Source organism: Homo sapiens, chromosome 4, assembly GCF_000001405.40.
Source record: "Homo sapiens chromosome 4, GRCh38.p14 Primary Assembly".
Lineage (NCBI taxonomy): Eukaryota > Metazoa > Chordata > Mammalia > Primates > Hominidae > Homo > Homo sapiens.
Window position 1 is genome coordinate 163,160,470 of NC_000004.12, and position 21,391 is coordinate 163,181,860.

A 21,391-nucleotide genomic window follows, 5' to 3' on the forward strand; every position below is an offset into this window, starting at 1 on the left:
TTATTTCACTGTAGTTCTCATCTACCTAAAGATCTGCATTGTACATAGTTAGATCGCAGAGATCGAACAACCCACAATGGAAAGATTTAAAGGGATAGATCCAGAGAGGCGACATTCCTGCTTGAAGCACAGACTAAATGGAGGTAAAAATTAAGCTAAGCATGCCTGAGTGACAATAGGAAACTGCTAGAAAACTCTTTAGAAAGTGGTTGGACATAAAATTGGGTTAAACTGGGCTAAATTGGGCATGTCTATGTCCAGATCCCTGAAGGTCCAGCACAAATTCTAAAATTGGTTTTAACTGTTTGGCACACTTTAATTTGTGTATATCTTTTGGCAGAAAAGTTCATTAATTTTCTTCAGAATTTCATTAGATAGTTAATAGACCACATAGAGCTTGAAGCTCCATCTAGCTAAGATACACAACCTCTGCTGCCTAAAAGTCTAAGTGACATATCAAGAGGCCTGAACAAAATGGCACATACCACACAAGCTAGGAATAGTTGTGGAGAGGAGATGCTTCCCAGAAAGAATGGACTGTCATTTTCCAAAAAAAAAAAAAAAAAAAAAATCTAAGCTAAATAACAGAATTGTCCCAAAAGCAAGCAAGGAAATACAACACTAATTAGCCAGTTCATGGGACACTGAAAGCAAAAGATGCCATTTTTAGAGCCAGAGATACTGAAATCCATGTATAAGCTAGAATTAAAAAGATCAATCTGTCCAGGCACGGTGGCTCACGCCTGTAATCCCAGCACTTTGGGAGGCCGAGGCAGGTGGATCACCTGAGGTAAGAAGTTTGAGACAAGCCTGGCCAACATGGCAAAACCCTGTCTCTACTAAAAATAAAAAAATTAGCAAGGCGTGGTGGTGGGCGCTTGTAATTCCAGTTACTTGGGAGGCTGAGGCAGAAGAATAGCTTGAGCCCAGGAGGTGGAGGTTACAGTGAGTCGAGATCGGCCACTGGGCTCCGGCCTGGGCGACAAGAGCGAAACTCTGTCCCCCCTCACCAAAAAAAAAAACCAAAAAACAAATCTATAGATAAACAGAGGAAGCCAACCAATAATGAAAGAATAAAATGCCAGAGAACTGTGAGACTATCCAGAGGCATGTAAAAGAAACAGTGTGACTAGCCTTCACAGCTGCCTTAGTTCCCAGCTGCTTTCGAATAAACTTCCATTTCTCCTGAGGTAATATGAGTCTCTGCTCCTCCTAACAATGAGTCCAACATAAGTCGTACATGATATCACTTCCAAGTATTTCCCTTTCCCTCTAGTGAGTATAATCCGTTGTTACTGTCTGCCCAGCATCCCCTTTTGGAATGGATATAAGCTCCCTTTCCTGTGAAAGATAAACCATTCCATGTGGTTTATATAGGGCTGATATTACACCCAACATCCCACCCTCCTCACAATACATACACATTCACACTCCCTTTCTGTCAACTGGCTGTTACGCACTCCCACCCTCTCGCACTAGCCCATGTGCTCTTTCAAGTGTTCATTTTCCTACACATGCTCTCCTCACTCTCTCCTACACACTCGCCTACACAAACAGGAGTGACTATGTGACTCACAGCCAAGCAATCTGAATACCCATTCCACTAGCCTCAATGATCTGTTCAAGGCTGTGTTAACAGACCATAAGCCAGCAAAAGTCAACTCCAAGACTTTCATGCAAGAGTCTATCAGTGGTAAAACTGCCAGCCCTGAGAAACGGACAAAGAGGCAGACTCCTAAACACACTACATACCTGTAACTATACACTATCCTTAGTACTCAGGACAAAGTCATTCTTTTCCCCCAAACTTAAGATTTGAAACCCCGAAGAAGTCCTTATATCTTCTTTCAGACCTGTAAGCCAGAGATTTAGGGCAGACTGGGAAACTCATCAATTCCTCTACCTATCTCTAGCAGCACAGTGGTCTGAAGGACTTCTAATAAGTTTCCCAAATAAAGACTATAATTGCCTCTTCCATCATTCCCAAAGATCCATTGAAATGGTCACAGAGAGGAACAGACCAACCCATCATTCCAAGTTTGAAAATCTAATAACATTCAAATGGAATTTTGTCTTTCGAGGCAAACATACACTTACACAATTCAATAGCATTTTTAGCAATTAAATTTATTTGTCTCCACTTTATTTACTGTCTGTGTCTCTCCATTAGACACTATGAGAGCAGAAACTGGACTGGTCTTGTTTACAGCACCTGGCAAATGGCAGGTGTGCTATAATAATTTCTTAAAGAATTAATAAATATAAAATGCCTATTCACACACTCATTCTATAATCATGTATTACTTTGGCCTGAGAACCCATTATCTATAAAGCACTCCACTGGGGACTATGGGAATTACAAGGATCACATATGAACTCAGTCCTCAAAGAACTTGTTCTTGGACTCCTTGTGGCCACAAATCCTTTTTGATCTTCTGATGAAAACAGGGACATTCTGTTCAGAAAAATACCTAAACAAATATGCTAAGACTTTGCATTAAATTGGAAGAAATTCCCAAGGTAAGAATTGCAAATCTAGTAAGACAATGATATGTATGCATTTACAGAAGTACTGTGGTCTTTTCTTTGTTCGTTATTATATTCTAATAAGGAAATTATGTAGAAAAATGATCAAGAGACAAGCAAGAAAGACCAAACAAGTCTCCTACTTTCAGAAAATAGTTATGCTGGGAGCCTTTGTGTACAAAGACCACTAAGAAATATTAACATATCTGTAGCATGAAAATATGAGCCACTGATGAAGCTGCATACAAATCCAAAGGTCTTCAAGTTATAAAGCATAAGCGAGACGAGAATTTCTTGTTATGAGTAGAGAAAAAGAGAAATAATTCAGACTGGCAGAATCCATTCATGAAAAAGGCTCCTGAGTGCCTGTAGGCTTTAATTTATTTTTTCAAATCTTGCATTAAACTATCTCATCAATTTAAGTGTTATATAAGAATTATGATTAGTGACCATTAAATATTTTTAAAGCATTAATAATTAAAACTACATGCAGGGGTAGAAAAAAAACAATGTGATAATATGGCCTACATTCTGAAATTCTGAGAAGGCTTTCCTCTTGGGTCATAGGTTTCAATCAGACTAACATCATCCTCCTAAGGATGTTTACAGCATAAGAGGAAATAACCTTGCAAGAGTTAACTTTGCAAACCAAACCTATCGAGTGCCAATAAATACCATTCTACAATTAACAAGTTTTCTCCAACTGTAATAATAAAAACACTCCAAAAACTTCAATAGGAATCCTAACAAGTTCAACCCTCTGAATTTCATCTTCTACTTCTCTAAATGCAGTCAATTAAAAAGTCAATTGCTATTGAGCAAAATTTTCTGACGTGCAGACCAAAAAAATTGATTTCAATTGCTATTGAAATTTCAATTGCTATTGAGCAAAATTTTCTGACGTGCAGACCAAAAAAAAAAGCAAATCTACATAAGAAATATCTTCTTCTAGGGAATGTAAAAAATGTAAAGTTCAAAGCTGAAGTTGATGCCATAATCGGAACAATTATCAAAGGTCAGCAGAGTTAGAAGCAACCTAAGAAATTATCCAGATCACTACTCTCTTTTACATAAGAAAGCCAAGGCATACCAAAAGCATGCCTATTAGGCTGAGAATAAATTTCAAATTTATGGAGCAGATATAGGCAAAATTAGATCAATACTGGTACCAGAATACGTTTTAAAACATGCAAACTAAGCTTAATAAATCTAAGTACTTACATTAAGAAGTAATTCATCTTTTGTTTTAAGAGGAAAATTCTTATTTTCCTTCTCAATTTGTAAATCATCATCTCCATCTGACAGCACTGGAGGAAGTGATATACAAGAGGAAGAAGACGACGATGAGGAAGATGAAGAGGAAGACGATGAACTTGAACTATCTGAATCTGTTTCACTGTAGGGAAGAAAACAGTTAAAAAAATAGTCCAGTATTATTATACTAATATTAAAATAAGATTATTCAATTAAGAAATATCAACTTTAATACAAGTTTACTATTGCTTATTCTAATATTAAAATAAGATTATGCAATTAAGAAATATCAACTTTACTACATGTTTACTACTGCTGTTCTAATTCAAAACTAGCACTTCAAAACTGATATGGTATTGGGAAAGTAGTATTTAGTTTACCAATAACATTTTCAAACCTTTGCCATAACCCAGATCCTCTTATTACAATACTCTCACATATCATACACCTGTCTGAATATAAGCAAGCATGTGACAAACCACTAAAAAAAGGGAATTCTGGGCATGGCACCTCTCTTAGTCACAACCACCAGATCGCTTAATTGCCAGATTGCTTAATGAGTTTCTTCTCAGGCTACAGACAACTTGGGAAATCCTCAGTTACGAAAGTATGTAGACCATTCTACTTTCTGAAAACTCACTTGGTCCTTATCTTCCACAGAAATTATCGTTAACAGCAACCACTGTCTCAGTTTAAATTTTGTTTGTTGGCTCCCCACTTGAAGCCCTTTTATATACTATTTTTAAGGGTTCCATCCTCACTTTCTCTTCTTTCGCTACTACTTTCATGGATAATCCCATACACATTAATGATTTCAGTCATCATCCATGTGAATTAACGCCTAAATCTTCAGCTATGACATCTCTAAACTCCATGTCCAATCTCTGACGGCATACTGGCCACCTTTGTACGAATGGCCTATACACCCACACTCATAGCAAGTTAAAACAAGAAAAAGTGCATTATACTAACTAAACCTGCTTCTTCAGTTTCCATTTGATTTCACTGCTGTTAACTGGCAAAAAGTTGTACCCCTTTTGACTTCTTCAAATATTTGGTATCCTCTGCCATCACCCACAGAGTCAGAAGTAGTATCCTGACACTAAGTTGGCCTATTATGACGCCATATCCCTTCTGCTTTCAAAACGTATCCCCAAATCATCTACCATTTACTTTTCTTTGCTAGTAAAATGAGCTCTGAAATCCCACAAGATGATTATACTGCAATCTTAGTACTGCCAAGAAATCCAACCTTGTTTACAGTTGTTACTTCCCCCTCCCAGTACATTTCATACCCTCTCCTTCTACTCAAATCCTTCAGCCTTCTTCACTTCCACTCTCCGCTGATGACTTCCCTGAAAACTAAACTTCTCACCTCCTCAACACGTGTCTATCTTGTTAACCTGTTCAGTACCCCACTCAACACACTCAACTATTTGTAGACAATGTTCAGTGTGGTTTAGTAACATCCCACATGCTGGAGTCCTCTCCAGCCCAGAGATTTCATATTTAAAAGACAGGTGTGGGGGCAAGGGGGAAAGGCTCTCACAAAACGTAAGAAGCATAAGATACTACTAAATAACACTGTTTGGCTACTTTCATAAACACGTGTTCCCTGCAAGGATTCTATAAATTAACGTAATCATCAAGAGCCAGCTTTGAAACACAAAAAATAATACTTTTCCTGATCCCCAATGTATGTGGTTCAAAAAACAAAGCCTAGATGTGATGATAAAAAAAAATCAGATCTGACACAAAACTCAACTATAACCACAAAAGTACAGCCTAAACTGAGTAGTTACGGAAATAACCTAAGATCCTCGGGTTTTCTAAAGTCTAACAAAAAATGATACGATCTATACATAGAACCCTTCAGGCCACCAAATTTAGGAAATAAGTCAGTACTAAGCTCAGATTCACAACGCGACCTGCTTTGAGAGGCAGCGAATAAGGGGCAGTCGGAGCCAATACTTCAACACGTGAGCCCGGAGCACCAACGACCTGCCCACCCTCCAGGGCCCACACAAGCAACCTCTAGGCTCCTAGGCCCCAGCCACCCCCGCCCGTCATACAAGACCTCTCCCCACAGCTCCGGGTCCCTTAGGCACCCGACCTGTCCGAGTCCGAATCCGAGTCCGAGGTCTCCAAGGAGTCCGGCGCCCGCGCAGGCTCTGCGGCTCCTGGGGAGGTGACGCAGTCTCCGCAGGCCGGCGATTCAGCCGGTGGCTGTGGCTGCGGCGCCGGGGTCCCGGCCGCGACGGCGTTCAGAACGGGCTGCAGAGGCTGCTCCCCGGCAGGCTTAACCTCCACGGTCTGCCCAGCGTCCGGGGACCCCTCAAACGACTGTAGCGGCGGCTGTGTCCCTGGCACAGGGGCAGAGCCCGGAGACGGAGCCGCCGGACCTTCCCCAACTCCAAAGTCGGTGCCATTGAATTTCAGAGTTTCCAGCTGAGCGGCGGCGGCCTCCACTACCTCCATCGCACCGCGCCAGAAACCGGGTCGGCCTCAGGATTGGGGCCCCTGGACAAGCTCACGGCTCTCTCCAGAAATAGAAAAACAACTTAGGCAACCGCAGCAACACTGCCTGGGCCCAACTTCCCGCGTTTCTCAGGTAACTACACGCGGAGGAGCCAAAAGACACGCCCCCGCCATTTACGCAGCAACGCTTTCCGAAGAGCGTGTGACGTATGTGGCGCGACGGCGCGACGGCGCTCGCGGGGGCAGGATACATGCGTCATATCTTCGAAAATCAGGATTAGGGGGTCGGGCGCCGTGGCTCACGCTCGTAATCCCAGCACTTTGGGAGACCGAGGTGGGCGGATCACAAGGTCAGGAGTTCACAGACCAGCCTGCCCAACATGGTGAAACCCCATCTCTACTAAAAATACAAAAATTAGCTGGGCATGGTGGCGCGTGCCTGTAATTCCCACTACTTGGGAGGCTGAGGCAGGAGAATCGCTTGAACCCAGCAGGCGGAAGTTGGAGTGAGCCGAGACCGCGCCACTGCACTCCAGCCTGGCGAGAAAGCGAGACTCCGTCTCAAAAAAAAATAATCAGGACTAGGGAGGCCCTAAATCGACCGTTTTCACTGCGTCATGTGAACCATTCAAGGCCTGAATGTCGGATTTTCCTATTGCTGCATGTGAACCAATTCTGCTTGAAGCGCCAAAATGAAGCAGGGATTATACAACAGGGGGGTGCCTGAAGAATGCTAAGTTCTGTACATCAGAAACTTGAGCCAGGAAGTCTTGACAAGACGCTAGTAACTTCATGAAAGTTAAATGAAGTTTATCCATCAATAGATCCATCTGTCGATAGATAGGGTATTAACCATTTTTTCAAAAATGTAACTACAACTATTCCATTTTCCTTTCTCCAAAGTACCCTCAAAGAGAGCAGTAATGGACAAAATTTTGCTGTGTTGTTCATGTTATGGTGATGTCTATATCATACTTAGCACTGTTTCGTAGTAGAGAGATGAGACTATGAGACTGAAATGTACTCACTTATTGTTGGAAACCACTAGTCTAAATTGTGGAGAAAGCAAGCAGAGTTCTTAGGACTGAGGAAGAGATCAGAATTTTCTGGTTTCCTATTAGGTCTTCAGTTTGAGGCATCAGTCCCTGTGTAGTAATAATAATCATTGATACCATTTGTTAAACATGCATATGTGCCAAGGACTGTGCTAAAGATTTTATAAATTATTCACTGAGAATTTAGTGTGTCATCTACAACAGTAGATCTTCATAGAAATGCAAGGCAAGTGTAATAAGAGTAAGGTTTTAAGAAGCTTACAATCTACTTGAAGTAGAGAAGGGCAATGCACAGGAGATAACTAGAAAAATATTTGAAATATGAAATAGAAAATCCAAGTGCAGCAGAAATGGGAAGTAGGATTGGTAGGCTATTTCATGGAAATCCTCCAAAGTGAAGAAGGACTTTAAACTTGGGATACGAACTTACTAGCACAATGATTAAGCAGAGCTCAGAGTTTTCAACTAAAAAGACCTGTGTTCAGGCCTCAGCTCTACCATTTTGTGTTTGGTGTTACTGACTTTGGGCAGTTAATCTAAATCCTAATTTCCTTATCTGTAAAATGGAGATAAAAATACTATCTCATTTAGTTCATGTGAGCACTAAGTAAGGCTTTATATAAGGGAGTGGCATGTCATACATTCAGTGTGCAAAAATACTTGGAAAATGGAACAATGCATGAACTCACGAATAAAATATTTAATTAACAATGATCTTGCAAAGACATGCAGTACAGATTTGAGAAGGGAAGACGTTTGAGCCAGAATTATTCCCCAGCCAGCCACTTTGTTGCATTTTTCCAGGAATTAGGTGATAAAAGTCTGAACTAGGCTTACAGTCAATGAAATAGAGTAAAGGACATCCCCAGCATCAGGGGAAGAATAAAAGTACTCTAAAATTTCTGGTCAAGGAAATTAGAAAGAAGTTGGTATTACCAATAAAAACGGAGAAGTTGGCCAGTCGCAGGGCCTCACGCCTGTAATTCCAGCATTTTGGGAGGCTGAGGTAGGCAGATCACCTGAGGCCGGGAGTTTGAGACCAGCCTGGCCAACATGACGAAAACCCATCTCTTCTAAAAATACAAAAACTTAGCTGGGCATGGTGGTGGGCACCTGTAATCCCAGCTACTTGGGAGGCTGAGGCAGGAGAATCGCTTGAACTCAGGAGGCAAAGGCTGCAGTGAGCCAAGATTGCACCATTGCACTCCAGCCTAGGCAACAAGAGGGAAACTCCCTCTCAAATTAATTAATTAATTAATTAAACGGAGAAGTTGGAAAGAGATGTGGGTATGTGAAGTTGAGTCTGAAGAAAAACTAGACAATTAAAAATGTAAATAGGCATTTAAAAATAAGAAACTGGAATTTGACAGAAAGGTTAAGACCAGAAGCCTAAGTTATGGGATAATTGAAATACTCATTTGTTCATTCAGTAATCATTTTCTTAACATTACGATATGCTGTGCACTGCATTATAAACTATGCATACAGGAAGATAAACACAGTCCCTACCCTTATGGAGTTAACAGTTCAGTAGAACAGACAAGTTGAAAACAAGCAGAAGGTACTATAGTAGAGAAATGTACCATGTAAATGCAAGAATGTATGAAATGGGAAAACTAAAGACAGAGAAGATACTTGGAAAATTAAGGAAAATGTACTATAAGAGATATATCGTGGCTATAAGAGTAATTATAGCCATAAGGCTCACTCAAGTGTCTTGAGGGGCTGACACTAAATGTATTTATCAATATAATACTAACTGGCCCTGGAGATTTCCACCCCTGGCCCAGTGATTTCCAGGAGACCAGGCCACTTCAGCACAGATGCAACTTTCATGAACCTTAAAGCTTACCCTTGTAAGAATAGCTTCGACTCCATTTATGAGAGAAACATCTGATAACTGACCAAGCTGAATACAGGTTTTAAAAAGGGGGAAGAAACCCCCAACACTGAGAACAGTCTCTGGTTGGAGGCTCTCTTGATCATCCGAGCCCTGACTATCTGGTCTATACCCCCAGCCTCTTCCCACTATCTTTTAAGAGCGATGCCAGAATAAACTACTAAAGCATGAGACAGTCTCTAAGACTCATCTTTGACTTGAATAGAACTGAATGGGAGAAGTCACCTCTAGGAAAGCTGGTTAAACAGGACCACCCAACCACTGCCTCACTGACAATGACAAAAGGCTTTACAATGCGTGTGATACTTGAGCTGGACTTTTAAAGAGAACCATGAATTTGTTAATCTGAGAAAACAGGAGACCTTCACAGGGGATAATAAATAAGATCATTGTAATTTCCTGCTTAATTATTTATAAACTCTAAATATTTGTAAGCACACTTAGAATAAAATTCAGACTCCCTGCTTTGGCTTTCAACAGTCTACCTGATCTGGCCACTACTTACCTCTCCAGTTTCTATCTCCTACCGTCTTCCCCACCCTTGTTTCACATGAGCACTGGTCTTGATCTCCCTTCAACTCACCAAGTTAATTCTTCACGTGTGACATTTTCACTTTTCTGTTCTCTCTTCTCTTCATATTAACGTGGCCTTTTTACTCATTTATGGTTCTACTCAAACACTACACCTAAGAGAGAGCTTTCCAGACCACCCAATCTAAGTGCACCCCTCAATACCAATCACTTCCTAGCTTATAGCTCACTGTTTTTATTTAAATAGTATTTATCTTCACATGAAATTATATTTATTTACTTCTTTATTGTCTGTTTTTTCATAAAATTAAGTCTCAGGTGCCCAGGATCTTTGTCTAATTCACAGCTGTTTCTCTAAGTGCCTGGAAACAGAATAAATCCTATAAGGATTTTTGAATGGATGAATGAAAGAAAGAAAGAATAAAGCTCAATGGGACAATCAGAGTAAGGAATATGACTTAACAGATAATATCTGTTATTCTTTCAATTTAAATTAATCTGATGATATCTAAGAAAGGCTACTGTTTTTAAATAAAAGTCTTTTGTTTGTGTGGTGGAAATGTTTCTGTGTTTCAACATAATGATAGTGGTACCTATGCCTAGCTTTGAAGTAGGTCAGTGTTTCACAAATGGTAATTTTTCTAAGTGCTTGTTTCAGAATGTCCTGAATTTACCTACTTCCACAGCCTTCCTCTCAACCGCATTATTTCTAACAGTTGCTAAACTTAGCCTGAAGTCTTTAACCTAAGACTAAATCCAAAAAAACACCTTGGAAGACTGTGTAGCTTACAGGGTCACTATTAACGTTATGAGAGAATTTACCTTGAATTAAATTACAATTTAAATGGCATATTACATTTCAAAGGGAGCACGTAAAACTTAAATTATTTCTATAAATGTCACTGATTGATCTTAGTCTATTTCAATGTTTAAAAATACATGAATAGACACATTTACATTTCCAGAAACCTACAATGCACTTGCTAGATAAAAATGATGAGATTTTCTAATATATATCACAAAATGATTAAAAGCAGGTTATGTGACTGTTTGGGTGAGTTGCTATTCCTATTTATATATTGTAGCACTAATTTAAGTCAAGGTCATATGTTTGCATTGCCAACTAGTGTAGTAGGGAAAAGAGAGGTATAAGTGCTATTTTAACTCAAAATGGACTGAAACTCTACTGGACTCATTTGAGAGTATGGACAGAAATTATAGATTAGAGACTAGGCATCTCTTGCCACCTAGTCTCCTCTCACACTCAGCTTGTAAGAGAGTGACTTATCAGATAAGAGAGTGACATCTGACTGGTGATCTTGGGAAAAGGAACTGAGCATACTTGGTCCAGTATCTTTGTGTTATAGGAGATAGAAATTATTTAGGTAGAGAGTTAGGGTGAGTCCCAGGCAGAAAACTTTCCTTCTAACAAAAAGCAGCTCAGAAATAGCTCCCTTTTTAACCTCAATCAGTTCAAAGAAATCACTTCCTTTCTAACAAAGAGCAGCCTGGACGCTCAGGCTGTAAAACACATATAAGCAACTAAGGCACAGAGTGGGGAGTTTCCTGGGTAATCACCAAACTTCACATACATACAATGGGTCCCAGTAAAAACAGTGGGCCTTCATAAGCATATCTCTTTCTCTTTCTTTAGGCATACTAAGACAGGGAAGCTGGAAGTAGGCACAGGTGAGATACCTGCAGCTGCAAGAAGGTGCCTGGGAATAGGCACAGACACTCTTCCCTCCCTTTTAGCACACACAAACAGCACAGAGCAGCATAAACTAAGAGTGTACCCACATGATCAAAGAATGGGGTGGGGGCTGATAGAGACCCTGCTCTATGCAGATAGCACACCTGGTCCTAACCATTTGTTCGGGCCCTAGGAAGATAAGTCACACCCTCCTTACTAGCCCATTTATAAAAAACTGACATTTTTTACTACAACTTGGCAACCTGTTTGGGACCCCTCTCCGTGACCGAGAGCTGTTCTTTTCTTTTGCCGAATAAACTCCTGCTCCAGTCTCACTCTCTGTGGTTATGTGTTCATGTTCTTGATTTCCTCAGCTGTGAGACCAAGAACCTTGGTATTTACCCCAGACGATGAGGCCATTTTATACTTGGGGACCCATCCGGGATTTGAAGGTAAATTTATCGGCAGGATGAGTATAGGAGCGGACTCTATACTTTAATTTCCGAGGCTTCTCATCCTCAGTTTTTATTCTCTCAACTATCAAAAACCCAGGCATTTGACAGCTGATTAAGGAGCCACCAGGGCAAGTTGCTGCTCTTGAAGACTCAAAGGAGAGGCTTGCTGGGGAGGACTTAGTCAATCTCCCAGTGTCTTCGGGGTGCTGGGAATGTTGGCCCTGTTCCAAACCAGTTTCCTTTCATGGAGAACCTGGCCATCCTGTGGGGCTGGGAGAGGTCCTGGAGCAACTGAAAATTTCTGTCTGGTCAGGGCTATACCCTGGTGCTATCTAAAGGCTTCTGGACTGTCCCCAGCCCCCAACTGCCCAATCAGGTGTCAGCTACAGGATCTCCAAGCTTTCCTACTGCACATTATACTTTCCTCCTTTCCTTTCCACTGTCACCATGTCTCCCATTTCCTCTCTGTATGCAATGCAGCAGGAGTTTTTACAGCCCTGGAAAAAATTCAATTAGGCAGGCTTAGCAACCACCTTAGAAACCAGGAATGCAGATCAAAGGATTGCTCTTTTTGTGATTTTCTACAGACAGGGAGATTTTCCAGTTCTTTTCTGTTTTGCTTCCCTCTGCTAGAGACCAAACTTTTTGCCCCCTCTGCAAGCGGGAGAACTCTGCTTTCAGCAGTGAGGAGAAAAATGTCCTCCAAAACCACATTTTAATCTCAATACTCTCTCCATTAGCAGAAAGGCTACCATTTGACCTTTATGTTCTCTTAAGACACCTATTCTGCCTACAACTAGAATGGCATCTAAATAGAAAGGGGATTTTGTGTCTCGAAGTTAACTGGAACCACTACCTAAGAATAAATTCTCTAATCTGGTCCATAAGAGCAGATTATAAAGCTCAATCCAGTATACTCCCTCCATTAAGGGGTCTTGCCCAAATGCAATTGTTACATAGTCTCTCTCGAGACCCATCCATCAAGGAGTCATGCAGACCACACAAGTCTAGGAGGTCAAAGGGTAATCACCAAGCAGAGGACTAAGGTCACATGGGCTAGTAGTGTGACTAGCCCCATTGCTTAGTTCTGTGGTACCATGGTTTGAGGGTCATACCTGCAACTATGGGTGGCACTACAGTGCCAGGACCCAGGAACCAAGGAGGGAGAACAGTTGGGGTGATGCTCCCACTGTCTTTCCCCTCCACCCTGGGTCACACTGAAAAGAACAAGGAGACTGAGGGATGCCTCTTGTCTCTTTTCTAAATGGATAACAAGCCATCTTTGGCCTGCACTCCTCTGGAGTACATTCTGAAGCACTGGAACTCCTTTGACCTTGAGACTTTGAAGAAAAAGTGGCTCATTTTCCTTTGCACAAGGGCGTGGCCTTCTTACTATCTTGGAAATGAACAGACCTGGCCAGCTGAAGGAGCCTTGGTTTTAATCTTATCCAACAATTAGACCTTGTTTGTAGATGGGAGGGCAAGTGGCCCAAGCTCCTCTATGTACAGGCTTTCTTTGCCTTGAGAGACAACTCAGACCTTTGCAAGCATTGCACAATCGACTAAGCCCTCTTGATGGCCATATTGGGCAAGTCTGTAGAGAGTAGACTAAGTCAGAAAAGCAAGTTTTTAAGGAGCCATTGGAGGCAACTTCTAAGTGCCCCACCAGTTCTTCCTGTCCCCCTTATCCAGGATGCCCTGTGACTGTGCCATTGGCTCCTCTGGCTCCTCCAGCTCCCCCATCTCCAAAGCTCTCCACTGCCCCATCTTCACTCTGACCCCTACAAAAAATGCCAGATGGAATGGGCACCACTAGGGTGCAAGTTCCCTTCTCATTACAGGACCTTAGGCAAATAAAGGGAGACTTGGGCCAATTTTCTGATGACCCTGATAGGAATATAGAGGCCTTCTAAAATTTAACTCAAGTGTTTGACCTCACGTGGAGGGATGTTATGCTGTTTCTAAGCCAAACCCTCACTGCAGCTGAAAAAGTGGCACTCTGCAGGCAGCAGAGAAGTTCGGAGATGAAAAACATATCTCTTATAGTAGGCCAAAAAGGAAAAGGGGAGATATAGAAGGTGAGGAAATAACAGAACAACCATTCCCAATATGAAGAGAGGCTATACCTCTTGACGATCCTGATTGGACTCCCTGTGACCCCATAGACTAATGGAAAAGGAAACGCCTTTTAATGTGTGTGTTAGAGGGCCTTAGAAGAACTAGGGGCAAACCACTTAATTACTCTAAGTTGTCCACAATAGACCACAAGCCAGATGAGAATCCCTCAGCCCTCATGGAAAGGGTGAGAGAGGCACTAGTAAAACACACCTCTTTGTCCCCTGATTCAATTGAGGGATAGCTCATTCTAAAGGACAAGTTTATTATCCAGGCAGCTCCTGATATTAGAAGGAAACTACAGAAACTGCCATTACTGCTCAGAAGCCCTGGGTGATTCTGGAAATTGAAGGGAGGAGGGCGGACCTCCTCCTGGACACTGGAGCCAGTCTTTCTGTTCTCCTCTCCAATCCAGGCCTCCCCTCTTCCCATAGCACAATCATGGTGGGTGTTATAGGAAAGACTAACACGGTTTTTCTCTCAACCCCTTACTTGTAGTCAGGGGGACTTGTTATTTACACATGCCTTCTTGATCATGCCTGAAAGTCACATTCCTTTATTAGGTAGAGACATTTTAGCCTGCATAGGGACTAGCATCCTCATGGCCCTGGGACAGACTTTTTGTATTCCCCTAATGGAAGCCAATATTAATCCAGAAGTGTAGGCGGCTCAAGAAAGAATAGGTCGAGCTAAAACTGATAGGCCAGTTTAGATCCACCTTAAAAATCCCACTTCTTTTCCTAACCAGAGACTATATCCCCTAAAGCCAGAGGCTAGGAAAGGGCTAGAAACCATAATAATAACCTGAAAACGCAAAGCCTCCTCAAACCCTGTAACAGTCCTTGAAATACCCCGATACTAAGAGTGCAAAAATCCAATGGGGAATGGAGACTAGTTCAGGACCTCTGCCTCATTAATGAAGCCATAGTCCCAATTCATCTGATAATTCCTAATCCCTGCACCTTGGTAATCCAAATACCTGAGGGAACAGAATGGTTTATAGTCCTAGATTTAAAGGATGCCTTTTTCTGCACACTGTTACATCTTGACTCTCAATACCTATTTGCCTTTGAGGATCCCTCTGGCCAAACTTCCCAGTGAACCTGGATGGTGCTGCCTCAGGGATTTCGAGACAGTCCTCACTTGTTTGGACAGGCACTGTCTCATCCTCAGACCAGGTCTTGCAATATGTAGATGATCTTCTGTTCTGTGCCCCAAGTGAGGAAGATTCCCAGGAAGGCACTGAAGCTCTTCATAATTTCTTAGCTGACAGAGGATACAAGGTTTCAAAATCTAAGACCCAGCTTTGCCAGACTTTAGTAAAGTAACTGAGTTTACTGCTGTCTGAGGAAACCAGAGCATTAGAGAAAGAAAGGGTTAAGCCCATTTCTTCCTTCCCCCTCCCCAAGACCCTCAGGCAACTAAGAGGATTTTTAGGCATTACATGATATTGCAGACTGGATACCTGGGTATGGTGAGATAGCCCGACCTCTATGTCAGCTCATGAAGAAACTCAGGCAGCTAAAACTCACTTCCTGACCTGGGAAACTGAAGCCCCAAAGGGCTTTAACCAGTTAAAGCAAGCCCTACTTAAGGCACCAGCCCTCAGCCTTCCCCGACGAGGGCCCTCAATCTTTATGTATCTGGTAGCAGAAGCCACCAAATTAACCCTGGGAAATGGCTTAACTGTTTACACTCCACACAATGTAGAAGGATTGCTGTCCCCTAGGGGAAGCCTTTGGCTAACAGACAGCCGGCTCCTTAAATATCAGGCTCTGCTGTTAGCAGGGTCAGCAGTTCAGCTAAGAACTTGCTCTCACCCAAATCCAGCCATTTTCCTCCCCAAGGAAACTGGGGAATCTGAACATGACGGTGAACACATTGTGGTACAGACCTATGCAGCCAGGGAGGATCTCAAGGAGACTGCCCCAGAAAATCCGGACTGGACCCTCTTCATGGATGAGAGTTTCTTTGTAGAACAAGGAGTGAGTAGGCAGGATACACAGTAGTCACTCTGAATAATGTTATGGAAAGTGCACCTCTCTCCAGGCACAAGCGCTCAACTAGCTGAGCTGACAGCTCTTACAAGAGCACTTGAATTAAGCAAGGGAAACGTAACTAACATTTACACTGATTCTAAGTATCCTTTCTTAGTTCTCCATGCTGATGCTGCCATCTGGAAGGAGAGGCACTTTCTAACTGCTAATAGGTACCCTATAAAATACCATCAGGAAGTTAACAGGTTATTATCCTCGGTTTTCCTTTCTTGAGAGGTAGCAGTGATGCATTGTAAAGGCCATTAGAAGGAAATAGATGAAACAGCGGAAGGAAACAAGTTAGCTGATCAGGCAGCCAAGTCAGCAGCAAGAAAGCCTCAGGGCATCAACACACTTAAAGCCCCTCTAGTCTGGGAAGGCTCCGTAACAGCAATGAAGCCTCAGTACTCCTCTGAAGAGATAGAGTGGGCCACTTGGAGGTACATTTTCCAGCCTTTAGGATGGCTATAGCCAGAGAATGGCAAACTCCACTTGTCACCTCCTAGACAATGGAAAGTCCTTAAAATTCTTCACCAAACTTTTCACTTGGGAAAGGATAAAACTTATCAGTGTGCCCAGAGATTGTTTTCAGGAGATAACTTACTAAAAACAGTCAAATAGTGTGGCTTAAAAATAATTCCCTCAAGAAACGTCTCCTTCCTCCTCAAACCCAAAGAATAGAGAGCTATCCAGGGCAGGACTGGTAAATAGACTTCACCCACATGCCAAAGGCAAAGGTGGGACTTCTTTCACTAATGGGTAGAAGCATTTCCATGCTGTACAGAAAAAGCCTCTGAGGTAATAAAAGTTCTAGTTAATGAAATAACTCCCTGCTTTGGCCTACCTAAGCATCTCAAAACTGACAACAGCCCCTCATTTAAAACAGCTGTCACCCAGAGGGCCAAAGGCTCGAGGCATACAGTATCATCTCCATTGTGCTTGGATGCCCCAGTCCTCAGGGAAGGTAGAGAAAAAAACAACATTATCAAAAGACACCTCATAAAACTGTCCAGGGAAACTCACCTTCCTTGAGTCACTCTTCTTCCCATAGCTTTACTACAGGTAGGAAGTATCCCTTCAAAGTCAGACTTGAGCCTTTTCGATATGCTGTATGGACAGCCTTTCCTTACAAATGACTTCCTATTAGACCAAGAAACCTTGAATTGGTTAAGCATGTAACCTCCCTAGCTCACTTCCAACAGGAATTAACCAACTAGTGGAGGTGGCCCAACACTAGGAAACAGGACCACCTTTATTTAACCCAGGATATTTAGTACTGGTGAAGGCTCATTCCTCTCTCTCTCCATCTTTAAGCCCAAGTTGGGAGGGACCTTACACTGTTCTTGTTTCTACCCCCTCGGCAGTAAAAGTTACAGGAATCAACTCCTGGATACATCACAATCAAGTTAAGCCTTGAAGAACTGAAGGAGAAGTCCCTGACAGCTCGGAACACCCTCAATATCACTGTGAAGAAATGGGGGATCTCAAGCTGAGAATCACCAAAGATAAGTAAATGAGTGAGGACTATTCATTCTACTTAGTCCCACCTTCGTCCTACCAGATACTCTCAGTTATTTCCACCTTTCCCTTTGAGATTTGCCACCAGATATTAGAACTCCTCTTTGACGCATACTTGCAGGGAGACTGACTATCTGTGGGGTTACATTTGTAGCTTCATAGACTCACAGGGGGAAATTCTATATCCTGGTGAATAAAATTTTAAATAATTTACTGCATTACAGTTGGAGGAACTGCTATGCTCACTCCACTGTTTGCAGTTGGACTATATACTGTGGCAGCTGCACAGTGGAATTCTGGACAAACAATTCTAGTTGCTCTAATATTGTGCCTGATTATCACCTTTATAGCAGGCCTAATAATTACAGGAAAAAGACAAATATGAGGGCCTTGTTGCTAAAACTTCTCTTCCTCCTCTTAATAGTGCAGGTTAATCTCCTGAACCCAATAGCCGAACAGATCCAGTGCCTAGCCTGGGCAGTCAATCTAACTTCATGTTATATCTGTATTTCAGATTCGCCGTCAGCTGAAGTATTACCACGATCATTAGAAGATTTAGCTAACGTTAACACTAAAGTTACCCTAGTCACTCAGTCCAATGCAACTTATCCTGATGAGCAAGTAAAAAATGTATTTCTCCCAATCATATCACAAGTTATAGAGGATGGCCCAGACCTGAATTTTACAGAATCTTCACCTCTTGTAAGAGTCTTTTGCACTGTACTTCCAAGGTGCACATTATCCATTTGTTTCACATCTTTGAGAACAAAGGGAACTTACCTGGGAACCTTGTCCAGCTGCTCATATGAAGTATTTCTTAGTTGGACAACTCAGGAAAGGTAATACAACTCTTCAGAAAAGAGAGACAAATGGTATCTTAAAGTAAGAAAGCAACACCAGTTCCTTCTCTTTAAATACCCAAATTCAAGGTGACCTCAGTTTACTAGTAACACCAACACTTCCTGCATTTCTACGGGTTGGTACTCAGTGTTGAAAGATAACTCACCTTTACCCCTAGCCCGAATGTTAGCCTGGGGAATACAAAGAATGTTCTTAAAATTCCACCCCAATCACGTATTCCTTTCCAACATTCGGGCAGAATTTGCCTCAATATGGGAGGACCTCACTGGAAACTACCTAAGTGCATGGGACACCCCCTAACCCCCCCCTCCTGAAATTAGAGCTGGCCTTCTGGGGATATCAAGTATCTTTAGATCCCAAACAGGAACTGTTCTTCATATGAAGAAACACGGGATATGTGAGCCTGCCAAGTCAATGGAGGGAGCCTGTGGTGTTGCAGCAATACTTCCAAAAGTATCCTATGCCAATGCTCTACACAATTCCCATTCCTTATAAAACATACCCACGCTGTAGCAAAAAGGGCAGCTCATGTAATTCTACTCCCTTTAGCACCTGTTGTAACTGGACTTCTGGGAACAACCCTTGGGTCCATCTCTCTACATTTATCTTCTCAGCAAACCCAGGCCCTAGCTGAAATTATAGCTGCCACTCAGAAACAACAATGGCAAATAGACTCACTCACAGGTGTCACCTTGCAAAATTGAAGAGGACTGGACCTCCTAATGGCAAGTCAGGGAGGAATATGTGTTTTTCTTAAGAAAGAGTGTTGCTTCTATATTAATGCTTCTGGTAAAGTACAGCAACATCTAGTTGAGGCAACCAATATTATCACCCACTTGCAGCAGTACAACCCATCTAAATGGCTCACAGGTATCAAACAAACTCTGCTGTCATGGTTATGGCTTATAGTGACTCCACTGATAATGGTAGTCTTAATACTCATATTCGGACCCTATCTTCTAAACTTCCTTGTAAAGTTTATCTCTTCTCACCTAGAAATCATCAAGTTTCAGATGGTGCTGCAAATGGAGCCGAAATGAAACCACCCTTCTACTAGGAACCCTTAGATCCACCCAGAAGGAACCCTGGCTGCTGTTCCCATACAATGCCCCTCTCCAGCAGGAAGTAGCCAGAAGAAGTCGTTGCCCAATTCCCCCTAACAGCAGTTAGGGATTTCATTCCTGATGGGGGGAAATATGTTATAGGAGATAGAAAGAAATTATTTAGGTAGATAGATTAGGGTAGAGAGAGTTTCCAGCGAAAAACTTTCCTTCTAACAAAAAGCAGGTCAGAAATAGTTCCCTTTCTAACCTCAAGCAGTTCAAAGAAATCACTTCTCTTCTAACAAAGAGCAGCCTAGAAGGTCAGGCTGTAAAACACAGATAAGCAATTCGGGCACAGAGCAGGGTTTTCTGGGTAATCACCAAAATTCACATACATACAATGGGCCCTGATAAAAAGAGTGGGCCTTAATAAGCACTTTCGTTTACTGCAACTTGGCAACTCATTCAGCACCCTTTTCTGTGACAGATAGCTGTTCTTTCCTTTTGCCTATTAAACTCCTGCTCCAGTCTCAACATGTGTGTGCATCCACTTCCTTGATTTCTTCAGCTGTGAGACCAAGAACTTTGGTATTTATCCCAGACAACAAAGCCATTTTATTTTGGTTCTCCTTAAGCTCTACCTATCGGCAGAGAGGATGCATTTTGAGCTATTTTCCATTATGCAATAATAATGATAAATCCAAACATATAAATAGAATTGTAAATAATGATAAATCCAAACATATAAATAAACAGTCCCAGGGACTGTTCTAAGCACTATATAAATAAATTTACTTCTTTCCCCAAAACCTTGAGATATAATTATTCCCATTTTACAGATAAGGAAACTGAGGCTCAAAGAGATTTAGTGAATTCCCTGAGGTCCAACAGTTGATAAATGTTTCTGAATGCTCCTTCGGGGAGGGCTGAAGATTCTAGCTAACACAGTGACTGGGTAGTCAAGTCTGTCTCATTTTAGAAGTCCATTTTGCTGTAGATCTAAAACTATTAATATGTTGTCTAATTGGTTTTATCACTAATTAAAGCAATATTGTTATTTTCCAAATAATTGTCTCTTGAGTCTTATTTCTAAATTGCTCTATACTCAGAAGTACAGAGCCACAATAAGCCAGGCTTATTGACCACCCAAGTCTAACATTTAGAGGCCAGAGCTCCGGAAGAGCAACACACATAGAAAATGAGTTTTCAATGCTGAGTAGCAACACCTCACCCCTCCAGAAACAAAAGACCTACACAAATGTTGCACTTTCTGAAAAGGACATTTTAAACCAGTGATGTCCTTTTGAAATATCTGCAGTGATAGACACGTTCTACATCTGCGCTGTCTAATGCAGCAGCCACTAGCCACGTTTAGCTATTGAGCACATAAAATGTTGTTAAGGCAATTAAGAAACTAATTTTTACTTCAATGTTAATTAATTTAAATTTGAATGTTCCTCCTGAAGGGGCCTGAAGATAACTGCTAATACAGTGACTGGATGAACAAATCTGTCTAGACCCAAAAGTTCATTTTGCTGTAGTGCTACTATATTGAACAGCGCCATTTCATACCTTCATCATACTTCTCAAACTGCTTTTGATAATCCTTTTACTCTCATCAAATACACGTTAGATTATGAATTCCCTCATCTTTTTGCCTAGAGATTGATAAACCTCATTCATACCCATTTTTACTACCATCACTTTGATCTCAAAAACCGAGGGGTCTTTTCTAGTCTAAATCTAATTCTTTGGCTGTGCTATGGATTTCATTTTTGTGCCTTCTCAGAGACCTTCTTTATATTTTTTCCTCTCTCTCATCTCTGTGTTAGAGCTGATTTTAAGCAAAGGATAGAGACAGGAAAATGTTGGGCTAATTTGTCTTCTTTGGGGCTGGAAATTTTGTGATTTCTACGTTCAACATAC

The 21,391-nt window shown here is 41.7% G+C and overlaps 1 protein-coding gene and 1 long non-coding RNA gene across 10 annotated transcripts in view, besides 4 other annotated features; one reads left to right on the forward strand and one right to left on the reverse strand.

The window, feature by feature from the left end:
• NAF1 (nuclear assembly factor 1 ribonucleoprotein) overlaps positions 1-6,421 on the reverse strand; it is a 62,962-nt gene extending 56,541 nt beyond the window's left edge. For 7 of the 8 annotated variants that reach the window (XR_938799.4, XR_938798.4, XR_001741350.3 and 4 more), the window contains exons 1-2: positions 5,894-6,421; positions 3,748-3,922 (exon numbers count right to left, since the gene is read on the reverse strand). Coding sequence is in view for 3 of the 8 variants with exons in the window: in XM_011532410.4 (XP_011530712.1) it covers positions 3,748-3,922; positions 5,894-6,258 (540 nt within the window). In the remaining 5 variants the exon portion in view is untranslated. Of the gene's footprint in view, positions 1-3,747; positions 3,923-4,752; positions 5,814-5,893 lie in introns of those variants that run through there. The other variant, XM_047416407.1, reaches the window with a different exon arrangement.
• Positions 5,566-6,433: an enhancer, noted in NCBI's record as "H3K27ac hESC enhancer chr4:164087187-164088054 (GRCh37/hg19 assembly coordinates)". NCBI's record gives its function as "activates a minimal SCP1, AML or CMV promoter by ChIP-STARR-seq in naive H9 embryonic stem cells {active_cell/tissue: H9 hESC(naive)}" and the evidence as "EXISTENCE:reporter gene assay evidence [ECO:0000049][PMID:30033119]".
• Positions 5,925-6,004: an enhancer, noted in NCBI's record as "active region_22097". NCBI's record gives its function as "activates an Ori minimal core promoter by ATAC-STARR-seq in GM12878 lymphoblastoid cells {active_cell/tissue: GM12878}" and the evidence as "EXISTENCE:reporter gene assay evidence [ECO:0000049][PMID:35858748]".
• Positions 6,035-6,154: an enhancer, noted in NCBI's record as "active region_22098". NCBI's record gives its function as "activates an Ori minimal core promoter by ATAC-STARR-seq in GM12878 lymphoblastoid cells {active_cell/tissue: GM12878}" and the evidence as "EXISTENCE:reporter gene assay evidence [ECO:0000049][PMID:35858748]".
• Positions 6,175-6,374: an enhancer, noted in NCBI's record as "active region_22099". NCBI's record gives its function as "activates an Ori minimal core promoter by ATAC-STARR-seq in GM12878 lymphoblastoid cells {active_cell/tissue: GM12878}" and the evidence as "EXISTENCE:reporter gene assay evidence [ECO:0000049][PMID:35858748]".
• On the forward strand, positions 11,807-18,686 carry LOC105377517 (uncharacterized). Of its 2 annotated transcripts, none has more exons than XR_939413.2 (3): positions 11,807-11,889; positions 17,408-17,560; positions 18,076-18,686. It is a non-coding gene; the product is annotated as an uncharacterized LOC105377517 (long non-coding RNA). The 2 variants fall into 2 exon arrangements; XR_939414.2 differs by having other exon boundaries at positions 17,408-17,552.
• The last annotated feature ends 2,705 nt before the right edge of the window (positions 18,687-21,391 follow it).